A 20,112-nucleotide genomic window follows, 5' to 3' on the forward strand; every position below is an offset into this window, starting at 1 on the left:
TGGGCAGACATCGGGACTACCAGTTGCAGAGAGGAGCAACCCACACCAGGGCCTCCTCTCTGCTGGGAGCTGGGGAGACAATGGGAGTATCTGCCTACAGAGAGGAGCAACCCACTCTAGGGCCCCCTTTCTGCTGAGAGCTGCAGAGATGACAGGACGACCTGCCTGCAGAGAGGAGCTTCCCACTCTAGGGTCTCCTCTCTGATAGGAGCTGAATACTCGTTGGGACACCCTGGCTGTGGAAAAGAGCTACCCACTGAGGGTCTCCTCTGAGCTGTTCTATCACTCAATAAAGCTCCTCTTCATCTTACTCACTCTCTACTTGCCTGCATACCTCATTCTTCCTGGTCACAGGACAAGAACTCGGGACCCATCGAATGGCAAGGCTAAAAGAGCTGTAACACCAACAGGGCTGAAACACGCCCCTTGCTCACCACATTGCGGACAAAGAGAAGTACAGAGGAGCTGTGGCCCTTTGGGGAGCCCAGACCTGGGAGCTCCCTAAGCCAGGGCTGTGACTCCCTCTTTGGAGACCGGTGGTTCCTGGCATCTCCAAGCTTCCAGGTACCACCGCCTTCCCTGGTGCCAGCCATGGAAGCTGCTTGCAGTGTGCCTCGTCCAGCCATAGCCTCACAGAGAGCTGGTGCCCATGCTGGCACCTGGAGCTGCCCACCCCACTGCAGCAGCTGGCATGCCTGACTGCACAGTGGCCAGACCCCATGCTCACTCACAAACCCCTCACCACTCCACACTGACCCACCCTTGGCAAGTGTGGGATCCAGGCCAGTAGCATGAGGTGGCAGGCAGATCACCTGAGGTCAGTGCAGCCTGCCAGGCCAAGTGGGCAGAAAGAGCCCAGTGGGCCTGAGCAAAACTCAGGCAAAGGTGCCACCAGCCACAGAGGTTTCCAGCCAGAAAAGTGACACCCCAAGGATCCTGTAACAGTATGCCCGTATGACCTATCCCAAAACCAAAACTGAACTTAAAAATAAGAAGAAAAAGAATGGGATTGAGCTATATGTGCTGAGAGAATGATCTTTAGATACATTGTTAATTGGAAAAAGCAAGGTGTGAATGCTACCACTTATATGGAAAAGCATGTGCATTGAAAATATCTCAACAGATCCATAAGAAACTGATCATGAGGGTTTCCTCTGGAAAGGAAACTGGAAATCCAGAATGAAATAATTATTTCTCATTTTATACCCCTTAATACTTGTTTTCTACCAAGTAAATACAGTACAATTTCAATTATTTAATCCCTAGATCAATATCATTGGGCTAGAATCAGCAGGATGAAATCAGCAGACTCCCACGGAATCCCATAGAAACACAGTTGTGGGGCTCCTCTGAGGGATAGAGCTTGCAGGGTGGGGATAAGGAGCTTGCAGGGTAGGGAAAGTGCCTGCCTGCTAATATTCAGTGAACTGCATGACACATTTAGCTGGGCACTGAGCTTTGAGAAAAGAGCAAGATTCAAAGTCCACCTGGTTCTTAAATCCCACCTTTACAGTTTACTAGCTATGTGACCTCAGACAAGTTCCTTCACCTCTCTGTGCCTGTTTTTCCATTCCTTAAAAGGGGAATTATTACACTTGCCTTCTGGAACTGTGATGATGATTAAATGACATGATACAGGCCGGGCGCGGTGGCTCATGGCTGTAATCCCAACACTTTGGGAGGCCCAGGCGGACAGATCACCTGAGGTCAGGAGTTCGACGCCTGACTGGCCAACATGGCGAAACCCCATCTCTACTAAAAATACAAAAATTAGTCGGGCGCGCGCCTGTAGTCCCAGCTACTTGGGAGGCTGACAAGAGAATTGCTTGAACTCGGGAGGCGGAGCTTGCAGTGAGCCGGAATCACGCCACTGCACTCCAGCCTGGGCGACAGAGAAAGACTCTGTCAAAAAAAAAAAAAAAAAAAAGACATGATACAGGTAAGGTGCTTAAAGTCCTAGCATGCAGCAAGTGTTCAATTCGTAGTCGCTGGAAAAAGGAAAAAGGTTAAAGTCATCACTGTCCCCTAGTACTCTCAAATATGGCTTTTGGAAAGAATTGGGTAGGTCTATGCCTGCTAACGTGGAAAGATCTCCAGGCATTCTTACATGAAAAAAGCGAGTAAGAGGCCACAATGTATACCAGAATTCCATTTAGGAGTGAAAAACAAAAACAAAACTGTATTGTTTCGATTTTGAATTTTTTAAAAAATCAAATCGCTATCAGTAGGTAAAAGTCTGGAAGGCTACATACCAATCTGTAAACAGTGGTTTCCTCTAGAGAGATTTGGAGAAGGAAGGGTGGTGGTATTGTTTGAACTTTTTCCGACTAGCATTGATCGCTTTTTGATCTTAAAAGAAATACTTTTTAATTCGAAAGTTAATAGAAATGCGGAGTCAGGGGCAGGCCTCGGCGGCGTCCGGGCTGGGGGCGAGGCGCCCACGCCCCACCCTCCCGCTGTGGCCGCTGGCGCCGGCCCGAGCGCGCGCAGCCCGGTGCGCTTCGGCGCCCGCTGAGCCCGCGAACCTCTCCGCCGCGCCATCAGCGCAGCCATCAGCCGCGCCGCGTGCTGTCCCGCGCCCCGCTGCTCGCGGCCGCGGGCCACCGGCGGTAATAATGAGGCACAGCGCCATGACCGCGGCCCTCGGCTGCGCCGCCGGCAGCAGCGCGGGCGCCGCATTAGCATCTCCGAAGCCTTCCTGTGTGTTCTTTTGTGCTCATTTTCCAGCCCGAATGCTCGGCACATCCCGGACCGCGGACGGAGCCGCAGGAGCCACCGCGGCCGAACGTAGCTGCCCTGGTTTTAGAAAGAGCTGCGGGCTGCGGGCCCGGCTGTCCCCGAGACCTCTGCCTCCCGCACGGCCCAGCCAGATCTCTCGGGGGTTGTTGGGGTGGGGTGGGGCGGGGTGGGGTGGGGGGCGACGGAGGGGCGGGGAGGGCATGCCAGGAAGAAAGAAGAGCCTGGGAAGGGAAGGCGACAGGGCAGGCTTCGCCCCAAATTTTGCACAGAGCAGGATCTTCTAGAACCCAGAGAGGCCCCTTCCGTCCCTGCAACTCTGGCCCGAGCGCACAGGCCCTCCGCGGAGCCAGAAAGAGGTGGCCTTGAATGCTGGCTCTGCCACGGAATGATGTGAGGCCCTATCTACAACCTCATCTATGTGTGCCTCAGTTTCCCCGCCTTTATAAATGAGGCTGAGGCTACATATCTCAGGAGTAAACGCTTGTAAAGCACATATCTTAGTGCTTGACACATTATCTAATTTATTCTTCACCAACCCTGAGAGGTGGGTATTAATACTGTCAAAGTAAATGGTGTTCAGGGGGTGAAGTGACTTGGCAGAGACCTTGACAGCCAGGAAGCTATTGCACTGCTGGAGGGAGCAGCCAAGAGCAGCGGTCTTCATCTCTACCGTAGACTAAGGAATGCACTTTGTATATGAGTACAGTTTCCTGGCCCTGGAAGGATCTCAGGGACAAATGGATTCAAAGGAGGAGGCTGGAGAAGACGCCTGTACCTGGGGAGGCACCTGTTAAGGAGCTTAGAAGCCCTGAGATTCCCATGTGTGTGCACAAACTTGCTTCCCCAGCATCAGCCAAAGGGAGCCGCTGCCTCTTTCCGCCCCACAAACTCCTCCACAAACCCTCACACCCGTCATTCATGCGCCAAGCACCTGCAAAAACCTACTGCAAAGCTGCAATGGTCAGACAGTGTGGCACTAGCATAAGGACAGACACATAGATCAGTGGAAGAGATTTGAGAGTCCAGAAGTAAATCCTTAACGTGTATGGTCAATTAATTTTGACAAAGTTGCCAAAATAATTCAATGGGGAAAGACTACTCTTTTAAACAAACGGTGCTGCGACAACAGGACAGCCACATCATCCTATACAACAATTAACTCAAAATGGATCAAGGACCTAAATGTAAGAGCTAGAACTATAGATCTCTTGGAAAAAAACACGAGAGTAAATCTTTGTGACCTTTGGTTAGGCAGTGGTTTCTTAGATGTGACAGCAAAAGCACACGCACACACAAAAAGAAGACAAGAAAAACTACATCAAAATTTAAAATTTGTGTGCTGCAAAAAAGTTTAAGTGAAAAGATCACCTCCAAAATGGTGAAAAAAAAAACTTGCAAATCATATATCTAGTAAGAGGCTTATATCCAGAATATATAAAGAATTCTTACAACTCAATAATAAGACAAATAACTAAATTTTTACATGGGGAAAATTTTAAATAGATATTTCTCTGAAAGATACCATAAATGGCCCATAAACACATGAAAAGATGCTCAACATCATTAACCGTCAGGGAAATGCAAATCAAAACCACTTTGTAATCATTAGGAGGGCTACAACCAAAGAGACAGGATGTGGAAAAACTGGAGCCCTTGTACATTGCTGGTGGGGATGCAAAATGATGCAGCCATTGGGAAACAGGTTGGCAGTTCCTTAGAAAGTTAAACAGTGTTATCATCTGACCCAGCAATTCCACTCCCAGGTGTGGAATGAAAACATATTCACGCAAAAACTTGTACATGAGTTTCATAGCAGCATTATTCATAATAGCCAAAATGTAGAAACCCAAATGTCCATCAGTGATGAATGGATAAGTAAAATATGGAATATACAATGGAATATTACTCAGCCATAAAGAGGAATGAAGTACTGATACATGCTACAACATGATGAACCTTGAAAACATTACACTAAATGAAAGAAGCCAGTCATAAAAGGCCACAAATTATACAACTCTATTTATATAAAATGTCCAGAATAGGCAAATCCATAGAGATGAAAAGTAGATGTGTGGTTGTCAGGGGCTGAGGGGAATGGGGAGGTACTGCTCACAGATACACAGCTTTGTTTGGAGATGATGAAATTGTTCTGAAATTAGGTAGTGGTAATAGTTGTACAACTTTGTAAGTATACTAAAAACCATTGATTGCATTGTGCACTGTTAACAGGTGAATTGTATGGTATGTAAATGATATGTATATAAAATTTTCTAAAAAAAGAGAATGAGATCATGCATTACTTGTGCAAGTGAAAATTATTTTAAAAGTTAGGCCAGGAGCGGTGGCTCACACCTGTAATCCCAGCACTTTGGGAGGCTGAGGCAGGTGGATCATGAGGTCAGGAGATCGAGACCATCCTGTCTAACAAGGTGAAACCCCGTCTCTACTAAAAATACAAAAAAAAAAAAAATTAGCCAGGCGTGGTGACGGGTACCTGTAGTCCCAGCTACTCGGGAGGCTGAGGCAGGAGAACGGCATGAACCCGGGAGGCGGAGCTTGCAGTGAGCCAAGATCGTGCCACTGCTCTCCAGCCTGGGTGACAGAGCGAGACTCCGTCTCAAAAAAAAAAAAAAAAAAAAAAGTTAGGCAGGTTAGGGGCAAGGAAGAATTGAATTCCAGGCAGAGGGAACAGCATGTGTGACTCAAAGATCTGACAAGAGAAGAGGTGTTATGGGGGAACTGGAGAAGGTCAGAAGGCTGGAAAATAGAGTGTGAGGGGACAGGGTCATGCGATGGGGTCAGAGGGCAGATTACAGGGCCAGATCAGGAAGGGTCTTGTGGGCCATGGTCATGAATTGGAAATTTTTCCCAAGACAATGGTCAGCCACATCGTCCTTCTCCCTGACACACACACACCTGCACACCTGCACAGATCCGGATTCACAGCCTGCCATGCCTTGTCCCGTCCTGCTGTCTTCCACCTACAAGGCTGCCCTCACCCAGTCTCTTGGGATCCCTCAACCTACCCTGTCTTACCTCTACACTTTTCCTCCTGCCTGGAGCCCCCATCATCCTTCATCCACCTGGCTAACACTTACCTGTCCTCCAAGCTGCAGCTCAGATATCACAGCCTCTGGAAACCACCCCTCCAACCTCCCATCTCCAGCTCCCACCAACCTCCAGCCTAGGAGAATTTCACTCTTTCCCCGCCTCTGGGCTTCCAGAGCCCCCAGAGCAACCCCATCGATGTGGGGGAGGGTGCTCATGGAGGGCGGCAGAGGAGAGCTACAGTGCTCCGTGTTGAGGACCCAGCACTGTCCCCATGCATCATATCTGTGTTGAATGAGCGACTGCACTCCCCAGCCTCCGCCCCAGCTGTCCTCAGAAAGGCTGGCTCCTCACAGGTGTTTCGGCTACAGCCCTGGCCTGCGTCCTGACCTGCCAGCCCTTCGCAACAATGCCATCCACATTCCTCCTGGGTCTCTGGAACACATCTCTGGCTTGCACTTCTCCTCTGAGCACGCTTATTCACCTGTCAGGTGGTTATCAGTGCCTGCCCTACTTCCCTCTTGGGATTGTGTGGCTAAAATGGAGAGTCAGTGCAGCAGGTATTAAGTTGTAATCTTCAAACTCAAGTGTCCAAGGAATACTTTTATGTTTGTTAAGCTTAAGTCCAGCTCTGAGGACCCAGCCCTCTAAACCAGGGGAAATTTAATCTGTCATTAATAGGGGTCTTCTCTGCCTTGGGGTTGCTCTAGGATCCTGGAGTCTTCTGCCACATCAAGCCCCAGAGAGGGCTTCTGGTCACCCATCAGTCATCTGCCCTACTTGTTCCTGCAGAGATGCCTGGGGATCCCAGCCTTATAGTGCTAGCCAGCCAGTTGGCTCTGCTACTTCCACAAGACTCAGCCTGCCCTCTGAGGTCATGTCATCTCTCCTGGACATAGATCCCTGTGACTCCCTTGGAGGGACCATGAGGCTCTATCTTCTCTCTCTCAATGTTTTCCAAGGTGCTTCCCACTCTCTAAGACACTCAGCATCATTTATGCAAGGGGCTTTGACTTTTACAGAAGAGACTTAGCTCGTCAATCAACTCCTGCTTTGCCTCCTGTAAGAATCCCTGAGGCAGAGGAAGTGGAAGGGCCAGGCTATTGGCTTGGAGCACAGGGATTGAGGAATAGAAACAAAGCAAAATTCATTCATTTGTCAAAAACAGATCCTGCCACAGGCATGCACCACAACGCTTCCATAGATCGTGAAGGGCCATGCCTTGGGCAGGAGTTACACAATGCCAAGTCCAGCCTGTGCAGAGGTTCAGTTACTTCCACGTGCAGACAACATCATCTGGACAATGCCTGGCCATGGCAAGCCATTAATAATAATTTGTGGAATGGATGAAAGAACAGAAAGGTCTGACTTCAGTCCCAAGCAGCAAGCTTTTCAGACTTAACCATGGCCATCAAAATCCACACATCAAAGGCTTGATACCTGGCATTAGCCTTTGGGCCCTCTGATTTCTCTGTTGCTCTCAACCCAGGGCAGGCTCTGCAGCCTAAGAGCCAGTGCTGTGTGACTGCCCTGGGCTGTTCCTCAGGACAAAATATCTTCCCAAGCCATCTTGGAAATAACCACATGGAAAATGACCACTAACATTGAACATTGGTGTTTTCCAATGCCAGGCACCCTCCTGTCTTCAATGCAATATTTCAATTAATCTGCACGAGAGCCCTATTACATTTCTCTTTTTACACCAAGAAAACTATAGTATAGAGGTGGGTTCCAGCCTACATCATCTGACTCCAGAGCATGTGTTCCTAACCATCCTGGTATACACTGCCTCCAATATGCCTACTCATACATACAAACACTCAAAACGAGCTCTTTTTTTTTTTTTTCCCTAAGACAGAGTCTTGCTCTGTCACCCAGGCTGGAGTGCAGTGGTGCAATCACGGCTCACTGCAGCCTCAACCTCGTGGGCTCAATCGATCCTCCTGCCTCTGCCTCCTGAGTAGCTGAGGCTACAGGTGTGCACCACCCATACCTGGCTACTTTTTTTATTTTTTGTAGAGACAAGGTCTTACTATGTTGCCTAGGCCCATCTCAAACTCCTGGGCTTAAGTGAGCCTACCACTTCGGCTTCCCAACGTCCTGGGATTACACTGTAAGCCACCACACCTGGCCATTCATTTTTGTTTTATTTAAAAAAAATAAAAAAAAAAGTCTGGGCTAGGTGCAGTGGCTCATGCCTGTAATCCCAGTAGGCCAAAGCAGGTGGATCACTTGAGGCCAGGAGTTCAAGACCAGCCTAGCCAACATGGAGAAACCCCTCTCTACAAAAAATACAAAAATTAGCTGGGCATGGTGGTGCATGCCTATAGTCCCAGCTACTCAGAAGGCTGAGGCAGAGAATTGCTTGAACCTGGGAGGCAGAGGTTGCAGTGAGCTGAGTTCGCATCACTGCACTTCAGCCTGGGCAGCAGAGCAAGACTCTTTCTCAGAAAAAAAAAAAAATCTGGAAATTCACCCACTATGGAAGAAGCAAACCCAGTAGCTTTGTAGGGATACAATTCCTGGCTTCTAGCAGGAGTTTGTGGGGAGGGGCTATCCTGTCTACTCAGCACAGGCCCATGGCCAGAACCAGCAGGGCTCCTGAGTCGTAGCAGCCCTTGTTTCTATGTGACCGTGCCCAACCACCACCTTCACTTCTAGGACTGCCCTGTGGGTCCGAGGCTTAGAATACAGGATCCAAACTGCACCATCCCTCTGCTGCAACATCTTCAGGGCTTTCTCATCATCCACACAACCAGATCCTCAGCCTCTTCCGACCTGCTATGGAGCAAGCCCTGGACTGGAGTCTGGAGAGCTGAGCCTTGTTTTCCTGGGACCTCGGCAGGTGGCTCAGCCTCCCTACTGCTTGACTTCTTCTTCTGTAAAATAGAGTCTGCACCTCTCATTGCTTCCAGCTCAGAGGGTTTGACTTCATGAATATCTCTAGAGCTTTAGCTCCTAGCACGGGCTTTCAAACTCCGCCCAAACTGCTTGCCTTACCCTGGACTCCTCTCATACCTTTTCTCCCTGGGCGTTTGTTCGTGATATCCGTTCCTGCACAATCTTCTGCCTCCCCCACCCTCATCTCTGCCCACCCAAATCCTACTTATTCATTCTCCCAGCTCCAGCCCAAACATCAGTTCCCCCAAGAAGTCATCTCTGATCCCAAGAAGAAAGCCATCTCATCCTCCTCTGAACCCTCCTAGCACAATACCTGTGACTCTCCCAGGGGACACAGCTCCCTACCATTGTTTTTATGGGGTTTTGTGTCCTTGCAAGAGGCACTGTATTGTATTGTTTGGGTTAAGGGTACAGGTTTTGAATCAAGTAGACTGAGGTTCAAATCCAAGTTGCCCTGACTGTGATAATCTGGGGCAAGTGACTTAACAGTTCTGAACTTCACTTTACTCAGGTGTAAATGGGAATAACACAGCGTCTCCTTCAGAGGTTTTAGAAAAGATTAAATAGAACGATGCATTTAAAATTTTTCTTTTGTGTGTGTGTGACAGGGTCTTGCTCTGTCACCCAGGTTGGAGTCCAGTGGCACAATCATGGCTCATTGCAGCCCCCAGCTCCTGGGCTCAAGCGATCCTCACACCTCTGCCTCCTGAGTAGCTGGGACTACAGATGTGAGCCTCTGTGCCTGGCCCTCTGTTATCTTTCTTTTTATGCAAGCTCCCAGAGGGCAGAAAAAGCTTCCTTCTCATCTCCTTACAGAAGCTCAGCACAGGGTCTGTTCTCAGCATGGCTAAGCATTTTAGAATAAATAATCAAAAGTCATTTTGATACAGACAGGAGACAGGAAAACACAGGGTAGAAGAGGGTGGTTCCCCAGGAAAGGCCCCACCCTTAACCCTGGAGACCCTCATCCCTAAATGGGGACAGGCAGTCCTGTTTTTGTACCCAAAAAGTTGCCTTTTGGCCCACCACACACCCTATCCCATACCTGTTCGAGGTTAAATCCAGTTCAAGGTTTATCCCACCTGCTCCAGAAGCAGACGGGCAGACAAAAATACGAGGAGACAAGCAGATGAATGGTGGAACGATACAGCAGGGAAAGAGAGAAGAGAAGGAATGCCTGAATGCTGAGAGGAGTTTGACTGAAGGTGGTCAGGGAGGAGTTCGGCCGCTGGATGGCCAGGGTCCAGGGGAAGATCATCTTCCCACTCCATCCCCACTTCTGGCTCCCCATCCATCCCACTGAGAGCCACCTCCACCACTCAATAAAACCCCACATTCATCCTACAAGCCCATGTGTGACCTAATTCTTCTGGGTCCTCTGGGCAAGAGCTTGGGATACAGAAAGCTGTCACACAGCCCTCTGCCCTTGCAAAAAGGCAGACGGTCCACTGAGCTGGTTAACACTCAAGCCATCCATGGCAGGGCTAAAAGGGCACACTGTAACACATGCCCACTTGGGCTCCTGCACCTGTCTGTCTGCGTGCTCCCCCTCCCCTCAGGGGTTTGAGCAGCCACTGGTGACCAAACAGGTGAGCCACACCCCTGTCGCATGTCCTGCAAGGGGAGTCAGGGAACTCCCCCTTTTGATTTCAGACCGTACACAAATGTTCACAGCAGCATTATTCATAATAGGCAAAAGATGGAAGCAACCCAACTGCCCATCCACAGACGAATGGATAAACAAAGTGTGGTCTATACATACAAGGGAATATTATTCATCTTTTAAAAGGAAAGCAATTCTGACACATGCCACAACATGGGTGAAACTTGAGGACATGCTGAGAGGAGTTTGACTGAAGGTGGTCAGGGAGGAGTTCGGCCGCTGGATGGCCAGGGTCCAGGGGAAGATCATCTTCCCACTCCATCCCCACTTCTGGCTCCCCATCCATCCCACTGAGAGCCACCTCCACCACTCGATAAAACCCCACATTCATCCTACAAGCCCATGTGTGACCTTGAAATGTCAGTCATGAACAGACAAGTACTGTGTGATTCCACTTATATGAAGTACCAAATTAGTAGTCAAATTCATAGAAAGTAGAATGGTGGTTGCCAGGGCTTGTGGGGAGGTAGAAATGGGGAGCTGTCGAATGGGTGCAGAGCTTCAGTTTTGCAAGATGAAGAGTCCTGGAGATGGTTGGTGGTGAGAGTTGCACAACAATGCAAATATACTTAACACTAATGAACCTTTACAAAAAACTAGTTTCAGGCTGAACCCCTCAAGGGTCTTAGCAGGAACAGAAGCAGCTGAGAAAAAATATGCTTAAGGTTTTAAAATATTTGGATATAAATATTGTTTGTTTGTTTTCGTTTGTTTGTTTGTTTGTTTGTTTTTGAGACAGAGTCTCGTTCTGTGGCCAGGCTGGAGTGCAGTAGCGTGATCTCGGCTCACTGCACTCTCCACCTCCCAGGTTCAAGCGATTCTCCTGCCTCAGCCTCCCGAGTAGCTAGGATTACAGGCACATGCCACCACGCCCAGCTAATGTTTGTGTTTTTAGTAGAGACGGGTTTCACCATGTTGGCCAGGAATAAATATTGTTTTTAACAACTGTGAGACTACCCCTATATACATACACTCAAAGCAAGCGAGCTCATTTTTCTTCTCCTTACTGCTCTGAAGGGTGACATGGAGATCATCAGCACAGGAAGGATCTGAACGACCTGCTGATTACAGGATAATATTCATACAATGAGGTTAAAAGCACTGGCTGAAAAGTTCTTTCATAAAATCTGCTACATGAGAAGAGAAAATAATTTATGAGAACATGAACAATTAGCACTTTGTAAAAAAGAAATAATGCACTTAACTTGATCCCTATATTTAACATCAATTAAAGATTATCCTCATGAATGAAACTCGACCTGGAAATTAACAAGGGATTTAAATTGCATTATGCACACGAAAGAGAGAAGCCAGTGCACTGGTTCAGGGCTTCCAATATTCAGCTAGGACGGCATCTATATATACAGTGAGGCCTGGCCATTTCCTCACATTTCTCTGCACTGAAGACATTGCTGCAACACAGAGGAGCATTTGTTTCAGCAAAAAAAAAAACCCATGATAAAAATCTCTGGGTGGCTGCAAACATAAGGTTGGCACCTTTCACTTTTAAAAATAACTTCTGGGTCATTTTTTACCGGAGAACTAACCAAGAGATTCCCTTAAAAGGATGTCTTTGCTGCTCTGAGATTTGAATCTGGATCATTTTCCATAGGCCTATTTAAGTGAATCTACAGGGCTGGGCTAGGTCAAAAATTAGATTCCGGGTCACCTGGTTCCAAGTCACAGAATAATTTATTCCCTAAGATGCGCAGCTTGAAGGGCATGAAACAGGCCTTAGAAAACAAGTGTGGACTATAGCCATTTATGTGTGGTTTTTTGAAAGTGTTATCGTGTATTGAGTCAGACTCTGTGCTAAGCAACCCACAAGGCCAGTATTATTCTCTCCATTTTATATACGAGAAGACTAAGGATGGGAGAGGTAATTTACCGGGGTTCCCTCCAGCAGATCTGGGACTGGGACCCAGGTTCCTCTGCTTCTGGAGCTCACTGGGAGCCACTACCCTTTACCCTGGAGAGCAGCTACGATGGTGGAAACACAGACACCCCCAAAGAGGACAAGCCTGAGACTCCCTGGGTGCTCCAGAGCCTGCACCTAGAACCTGAGACAGCCCCTTCCGTTTGCCTCCTTCTGATAGAAAGCCTCCTGCCGCTTGCCAGGGGACATGTCAGAACCACAGCTCTGTTGCTGATTGCTAAGAATGTGCCCGACTGGGAGGAAGGAGAGTGCTTCGTGCCATCTTTCAGGCTCCCCGGAAGAAAAGGTCTTGTTCACAGTGCAGAAAGTGCCCCCGAGAGACTGGCTTTGGTTTTTTTTCCCTATCACTGTCACGCCTGCTTCATCCAAGTTTTCTGGTGATTGTGCCTAGTGCCAGATCTGCGAACAATGTATCTCTTTGCTGAGAGAGTGAGAGAGAAAGACAGAGAGACAGACTCAGCCCTCACAATCCTGGCTTGGTGTGTGCATATGCACACAGGTTTCCCTATTGTTATCTTGGGAAAAGAGAAAGCAGATGTTAACCATCACCCCTTGAGAATTCACCTTGCTGTACTGTAAAATTCTGCATTATTAACATTCCAAAATCCTTCCACTCTTGTACGTGTCTTAGATGGGAGTGAATATTTGAGAATTCAAAAATGTGGAGAGGATGGAGGTGGCAGAAGTTTATTAAATTGGCCCAGGGCAGTTTTGAAATTTGAAAGTTTCTCACACTCTCTGGCTCTGAGCCAACTCGCAGCCGACTCGGCTGAACAGCCTGTGTAAGGGTTTCTCATCAGGTACCCCTCTTTCCATCCTTATGGAAGCTGACAAGCAAGTGTGGTTGAGTACCAAGGGAGGACTCCAGACTTCTCCAGGTCCATCTGGACTCCGGGGCACACCAGAAACAAGGCACAGAAACATAAGGAAGATACTCAAGATGGCTTCACAGCAAGTGTATCAAATATTGGTTAAATTAATGAATAATTTTTAAGGCAAATAATTCCAACGCAACTTCTTTTTCACGTGAGTCAGCAATGAAAACTCAGCAGTTTCTTCCTCCTCTGATCTGGCTGATGTAAGCTAACTGACCCATTGGATAGCAAAAGATTTGGGGGTTTTGTTTTTGTTTTTCTCTGTTTTAGAAAAAAAAGAGAGAGAGAGAGAAAGAAGCAGCAAAACCAAACCAAACATCAACTCATTGTAAAACTGTAACAGAGTTTTAAAGGGTGTTTCCCCAAACTACAAATATGCTTTTCAACAAGATAACTGTAGGTTTCTGTAGCAATAGAGCAGACCAATTAAGTGCAAGGCTTTGAATCAAAAGGACTTGGGCTGAGTTCTGCCTCTGTCTCTTTCCAGCTGTGTCACTTCAGCAAGTTAATTAATCTCTCTGACCCTCAGTTTCTTCCACTGTAAAATGGGAATAACAGTAACACCTATTTTACAAGACTGATCTGAAGATTAAACGAAATAATAGAGATAAAGTACACAGTATCTGACACATACTAGGTGCCCAAGAAAAATGTAAACTGCTGCACATTATTATTTTCATCATCGTTATTGTTGGTGAGGTCATTTTTAAGCACCTTGGCCCCCAGAAGCAGAAGCATCCACAAGTCCTGCACTGAAGTCACAGCTGAGACTTGGTTTTCATCAAGAACTAAACTCAATGATCCCCTGACATGAGGCAAACTGCAAAATCAAGGCCCCTTCTGGTGGGGGCAGGGGGGTTCTCCTCCCCAACCCTCACTCCCCACACCCAGGTTTTGATTGCAGAATTCCCAGCTACGGAACACTTACTGAGAACATTTTGGAGTAGAAAGAAAAGAAAGACAAAATAGAACCTTATTCCCGTACTTAACGGATTAACTACAGCCCTCAATTAATGGAATTCTAAAATGTAACATCTTTTAAAGAAGAAATGACCCAATACCTACCCTCTGATCTCTGTCTTCGTCATGAGTAAATTGTTCCCTAACCCAAGTGCCACCCTCAGAAGACTCGGGTGAATCCTGGTACCTCCTAAGCCTCAGGGAGACACGCTTGGGTTTGCGGTAAAAGGGCGGAGCGGAGCCCAGAGGAGGCGACAGATGTTTGTGCGAGATTGTCACAGATCGGGGTGAAACTGAAAAGGACGGTCTCATTAACCCGAAATAACCAGCCAGGCTAACTGACCCAGAGCTCATACTCTCCGAGCACTGGGGGACATGGGAGTTTGCTGAAGCCTCTGCGCCAGGTGTGGGAGTCTGAGCGCGCACCCTGCAGAGCTGTGCAGGCGCTCCCCCGCCTGAGCAGACAGCCATCCATCACTCCAGGAGAGGCAGCGGTGGGGACGTGAACTCGGTCACCTCCTCCCCCTCGCTCCTCCCCGGCAGGCTCTGAGGAGCCGAGGCGGTGGCAGCAGCGCGAGGAACAGAACACGCTGCAAACTGCTTGGCTACCCCTTTACAAGACTGACGCCGCCGACACAAGTTTTTCCATTTCCCCAAACAGCCTCTCCGGCTGCCAATAAAGACGGCTGCTCTAGGCCCTTGCGTGCTGTCAAAGGGGTACTTCTCCAGCGGCTTCAGAGGCGGCTTGTTCGCCCAGAGCTGGAGCTGCAGGCCCCTAGAGAGAGCCACCTTCCCCCTTGGGCTGTTGGTGGGCTCCCTGCGACCCTGGCCAATTGCATGGCTGTGTGGAATAATTACCGGGTAATTAGATGGCAGGCATGATAGGTGCCGGGTACTGGTTTCCAAGGGGACTTCGAAAAGGTATTCTGCCGCCCTATGCCTCCTCCCAGTACAAGGCACAGTTAATGCCTCAGATCCCACACCGCCTCTCTCGTGGAAGTGTGCTCTGAGCCACTGGGGCCTAAGCCGAGTTGACAGGCTCCATTAGAGAGCGACTCTGTCATGGAAATTGTGATCTTAACAGAGGGACATGTGGCAGATACCAATTCCACTCACATCCTTGTACTACGTGGCTTTCCCAGGGGGCTACTGATGGGATCAAGGGATGTTCACACCACCAGTCCCCAACTGCCTTCATCTGACCTGACCTGTACGGCCCAGACCGGGGAAGACAAGGCCTGGAGAGCCATCCTGAGGAACAACACCCTTCAGTGCCCAACTCTACTCCTAGGACCTAATGGCCCATGCACTCGGACAAAGCTTCAGATGATTTTCAAAAGCAATGCAAAGTATAGAACTTTGCAAGGACTTTGGGATCTAGAGGATGTCTTTTGAGAAGGCCTGGCAGCAACAAGAGTCCTGGACTGGGAAAGCTGGATGCCCCAAGTGACCTTGGCAAAGGCCTTCCCCCTCTAGGCCTCAGTGTCCCCACCTCCAAGGGCCAAGACAAAGTCCAATTTCTCAGAATCTGAAGCACAGTTCAGGTCTGTTGCTGCCCAGTGCACAAAGATGACCTGTAGGCCAGGTCAAATTCACAAAATTGAGCCCCTTCCTCCTAGAAAAGAAAGAAGCCACATCCAGAGAAGAAGCATGAATAGAGAAGGGAGGTGAGAGGGTCCTTTGTAGACCTCCCCTGCACGTCAGGCAGATCCCAGCACTGTAATGTCAGACCTTAAAGGCAGAGAACCTACCACTCTGAGGCCCAAAGAAAGGGGCCAATGAAACGAACCTATGAATTCATATCGGTGCACACTCCAGAGACAACAGGACTGATCCCAGTCCCCTGAGTCCCACCTCCCCTCTGATGTAGGGAAGGCACGGTTTGCCCAGCACCACCACCTCCTCTGCCCACACAGATGTCTCTCTCCGATGAGGCCCAAATCATCCGTGTGCCAACCTCCGAGACATGCCAATCTCTGCTCGCCCACAGGTGCCGCCGCGGGGATGGGCGGGTGCCTCCACCTGCCATTGTGGGTTCTGGGTGGAGGTCGCTGGGGCTGAGGCAGGCAGGGACCGGCCCGCGGCCTCTCCCAGCTAGGGAGAGACTCCACATGCCTAGGTCTGGAGCAGGAGAGGGGAGATAGGTAGAAGGCTTGACCATGGGTCACGTCTAAAGGGACCGGATCAGGACACAGTCAGGCGGCCTCCTGCCGCGGATTTCACCCCACGCGGTCTCGCCCCGACCGTCCCCGGGCCCTGTGCGCGCGGCCGGCATTGCCCAAGAGGGGCTGAAGGCGCCCCCGCCCGGCGGAGCCTACCCCAACACGGAGCCCAGAGCGCCACGCCTCGGACCCCGCTCCGGGTAAGCCCGGAGCAAGCCCCCGCTCCGTTCCGGACAGGGGAGCCTGGGCTGCTTTCTGGAACTCTTTCCTTGCTTTGGTCACTGGGGCCCCGGAAGCGTGGGCTAGGGTGCCAGCGACAGCGCCTTCCGCGGAGCGGCGCGCTGGCCCCTCCGGACCCTGGGTGGGCGGCCGCCCGCCCGCCTCGGAGACCAAGGCTGCCATCTAGCGGCCACGCGGGGCGCCGTCGGGGACCGGAGCCGGGCCGAGCGCTGGGGGCTCCCGGGTCCGCGGCTGCGCGGCGGGGTTCCCAGACCCGGGACTTAGGCGCAAGCTTCAGAGCGAGCTGTGTGACCCTGGGCACGCCCAGCCCTCTTTGATCAACCGTCCTTTCTCGGTAAAACCGAGAGGATACAACTCCTCTGCTCGGGGTCGTCGGGAAACGCAGGACCGAGGGACGGCGCCCCCTCCTTCCCGAGACCACCCGCCCCATCCACTCCGCACCGCACTCCCGTCCAGGGAAGTCTTAAGGAACCCAGTCCCCCTAGACGAGAGGTGGAAGGAGGCGCTGGGGAAATCCTGCAAAGCAGGAATCCGCACTGAACAGCAGGATCCTTTTCCAGGAATTGTAAACCCAGAATTGTAAATAAAATGCTAATGATTTATTCGTGCTCAAACGCCGGGGGCTGCGTCGCCGCTTTTGAAGACAGCTCCAAGCGTGGCTTTCCAGGAAGGCAGGCCTCCCCGCGGCGCCTTCCAGGGCTCCCCGGGGCCTCCTCCCTGGCCGCGGGTCCGGGCTGGGGGACAGGCAGTGGTTCTTGTTGGAGCGCTCCCAACCCGTCCTTCACTGAGACCCGGGTGGTGGTGGAGGAGGTCTTTTTCCTTCCATCCACAGCCGAGTCAGACCCCTCAGCATTCACCCATCATGCATGCAACCAATGCTTCCCCATCGCCAAATACCTACTAAACCCTTAGCTGACCATTGGCAGTCAAAAAACAATCGTGAGAATCACATCTGGTGGGGAAGATTGACTCGATGAATAATCCTACAAATAAACGCGTGCTTCTAAATTACAGTGTCCGGGATAGGGGTAGGGGTGGGGCTGGGGAAGGTAAATACAGTTTTTTAGCTTCCGGGATGTTTTCCATCAAAGTTCTGAGAGCCTGAAGGGGCGCTGAAGGGGCGCTGAAGGGATCGAGTCTAGCCTTCTCTTGTGAGTCTTGACTACCCTACATATTTAAGGTATTTCATTAAAGGGTGAGCTTTAAAAAAATAATAAAATAAATAATTCAAGCAATATGCATTTGCATCTGTGGCTGCCATGGTAGCTCTCTGATGCCTGACCTGGCTGGGGAAGGTGGGAGCCCGGGGGGGGCGGGTCACTGATCTTAGGCAGGAGGAGGTAGAAAACAAGGACTTTCCTTCAAACTATGCAGCCTGTCCAGCTGACCAGAGCAGCAGAGATGGCTCAGTTTTCAGCTGCCTCTCCTGAGTTGACAGGAGGCATGCAAGAGACCCCAGAAGTGGGCTCAGAGCTACCTAGAGAAGCTTCCGTGGTCACAGGGCCTCCACCTCAGGGCCAGGAGACCTGGAGTGGCCCTACCCAGCTCTCCCACAACTCCCTGCAAAAGCACATTGCAGGCTTTGTTTGTTTTCAATAAAAGCTTCTCTTTCCCACACTCCCTTTATATAGTTTCTAGAGAAATAGCACGTCTGGTTAATACTGACCTTCCTAAGGTCTTTTTGAATGTAAGACACAAATGTATCAAGGATGATCAAGGTTCCTACCTCTACCAGCAAGCTGATTTTTTGCATTTGGTGGGCCTCCATCAGACCACCAAGGAAACAGTCATAGATTGTACTGTGGAGGAAATTCAGGCGTCCCGCGGAGGCCTAAGCTGAGTGACCTTTATTCTTGTGTTCACTGGACAAATGTTTATTGATCTCCGCCTATAGACTGACTCCATCCTGGGCCTTGGGGATTTAAGACAGATAAAACAACTCCTGCTCCCAGTGGGCTCACAACCTGAGTCAGGTGCCTCCTTTGCAAAGTAAGGAATTCTGGGATTGCCACCCCTTGCCCCTTGGACCTCCCACCACCTCCACACACACAATTATATGTCCCTTAAATTAGTGTATATTTTGAGGGAATTCATGAAACAATCAGGTCCCTGAAGCTTAAAAAAAAAAAAAGTGATATTTGGTCAGAGCAACCAGGAACAAAGTCCAAAAACAACCTCTTTGGGGTACCCTTGTTGCAATACCCATACCCTAGGCTGAGCTATGTTAAGGATCACACTTTACTTCACAGGGCAGTGTTCTAGTAGATTTCTTTAAAATAATTCACAGTGTTGGAATCTCACAATGTTGGATCAAAGAAATAAGACACAAAAGAGCACACACAGTATGACTCTATTTACATAAAGTTTAAAGCAGGCAGTAATATGCTATTTGGGTGTAAAATTATGAAGAAAGGCAAGGAAATGATCATCACAAAAATTAAGATCATGATCACTTCTAGGAGAGAGAGTGTTGAGATAAAGGACTCTTAGCTCATATGGTGGGTTTCTGTGAGGCTGGCAATACTCCATTTTTGACCTGGGTGGTGGTTACAAAGGTATTTGCTTATAAATTATTTGTCAGATTGTATCTATGTTTTATGCACTTTTACATATGTAATAGCCCCAAATTTTAAAAATGTTAATAAAAAGATAAAGGAAGAAAAAGAACATCCAGCCTATTTTTAAAATGCATTATAATTTTCTCAAACTGAATTCTTCAGTTTGGGTGTCTGTATCTTGCCTGAATTCTCTATCACTGCTTGTATCAACCATTTGATGGTTGCAACAGGTTCTGATCCTGACTCAGCCTTACAGACACTGGGAAGGCAAAAAGCTGAGCCCAGGAGACTTGCACTCTAGTTCTACAGTATTACTAATTCATTGTATGACCTTCCCTCTCTGGGCCTCAGTTTCCTCTACTGCACAATGGCAGGGGTTACAGGAGATGACTTCTCAGGTCTGTGGTCATGTGACAGGTGCCTCGGATCCCACACATCTTGCAGTGATGTCACTGCCAGAACAAGTGAACATCCCCAAAGCAAAGCCATCAAACACCCAAGGTGGCCCTCTGATACTGCCACAGACTGTTTCTGGGGGCTGGCACCCTGCCTTTCACCACCTCCAGAATCTACAGCTAGAGAATCACTCCATCAGTTCTCAGATTCCTCCCCTCTGCGGAGACAAGAAATGTCTTTGGGCCTGATGTCCCTCGGGGATGTGAACACCGCTAAAATCCCATTGATTAATCGGGTCCCACCCTTGGATCAATGGCTGGCATTAGAGGAGCTTAGCGCAGTTTTATTAGTCTGGCTGCCCTCTTGCAGATGTTATAGATGAAGAAATAAAATGAGGAGGAGAGGGAAAAAGGACAAAATCATTAGTCTGAAAGGAGCAAAAGAGCATCTTCTCTGTTTTGTATTCAGATTTAGAGCTGCGCTGTCCAAGCCAGGAGCACACACAACAATCCATTTGTATGCTGTTTCCAGGAGTTCAGCTAGGCCTCCTGCTTTCCCACTTTGCCTGATCGCTGAGATCCCAGGAGCATTTGGTCCGCAGCAATTGCCAGCCCAACCTCTGAAGCCATTTTGC

General features: G+C 49.3%; 5 annotated features.

Moving 5' to 3' along the window:
• Positions 13,437-13,486: an enhancer, noted in NCBI's record as "active region_798". NCBI's record gives its function as "activates an Ori minimal core promoter by ATAC-STARR-seq in GM12878 lymphoblastoid cells {active_cell/tissue: GM12878}" and the evidence as "EXISTENCE:reporter gene assay evidence [ECO:0000049][PMID:35858748]".
• Positions 14,217-14,718: an enhancer, noted in NCBI's record as "H3K4me1 hESC enhancer chr1:39281537-39282038 (GRCh37/hg19 assembly coordinates)". NCBI's record gives its function as "activates a minimal SCP1, AML or CMV promoter by ChIP-STARR-seq in primed H9 embryonic stem cells {active_cell/tissue: H9 hESC(primed)}" and the evidence as "EXISTENCE:reporter gene assay evidence [ECO:0000049][PMID:30033119]".
• Positions 14,719-15,218: an enhancer, noted in NCBI's record as "H3K4me1 hESC enhancer chr1:39282039-39282538 (GRCh37/hg19 assembly coordinates)". NCBI's record gives its function as "activates a minimal SCP1, AML or CMV promoter by ChIP-STARR-seq in primed H9 embryonic stem cells {active_cell/tissue: H9 hESC(primed)}" and the evidence as "EXISTENCE:reporter gene assay evidence [ECO:0000049][PMID:30033119]".
• Positions 16,596-16,825: a silencer, noted in NCBI's record as "silent region_688". NCBI's record gives its function as "represses an Ori minimal core promoter by ATAC-STARR-seq in GM12878 lymphoblastoid cells {active_cell/tissue: GM12878}" and the evidence as "EXISTENCE:reporter gene assay evidence [ECO:0000049][PMID:35858748]".
• Positions 17,716-17,883: a silencer, noted in NCBI's record as "fragment chr1:39285036-39285203 (GRCh37/hg19 assembly coordinates)". NCBI's record gives its function as "represses an EF-1alpha promoter that drives an FKBP-Casp9 reporter gene in an ReSE screen in K562 erythroleukemia cells {active_cell/tissue: K562}" and the evidence as "EXISTENCE:reporter gene assay evidence [ECO:0000049][PMID:32094911]".

This window comes from Homo sapiens, chromosome 1 (assembly GCF_000001405.40).
Source record: "Homo sapiens chromosome 1, GRCh38.p14 Primary Assembly".
Classification (NCBI taxonomy): Eukaryota; Metazoa; Chordata; class Mammalia; order Primates; family Hominidae; genus Homo; species Homo sapiens.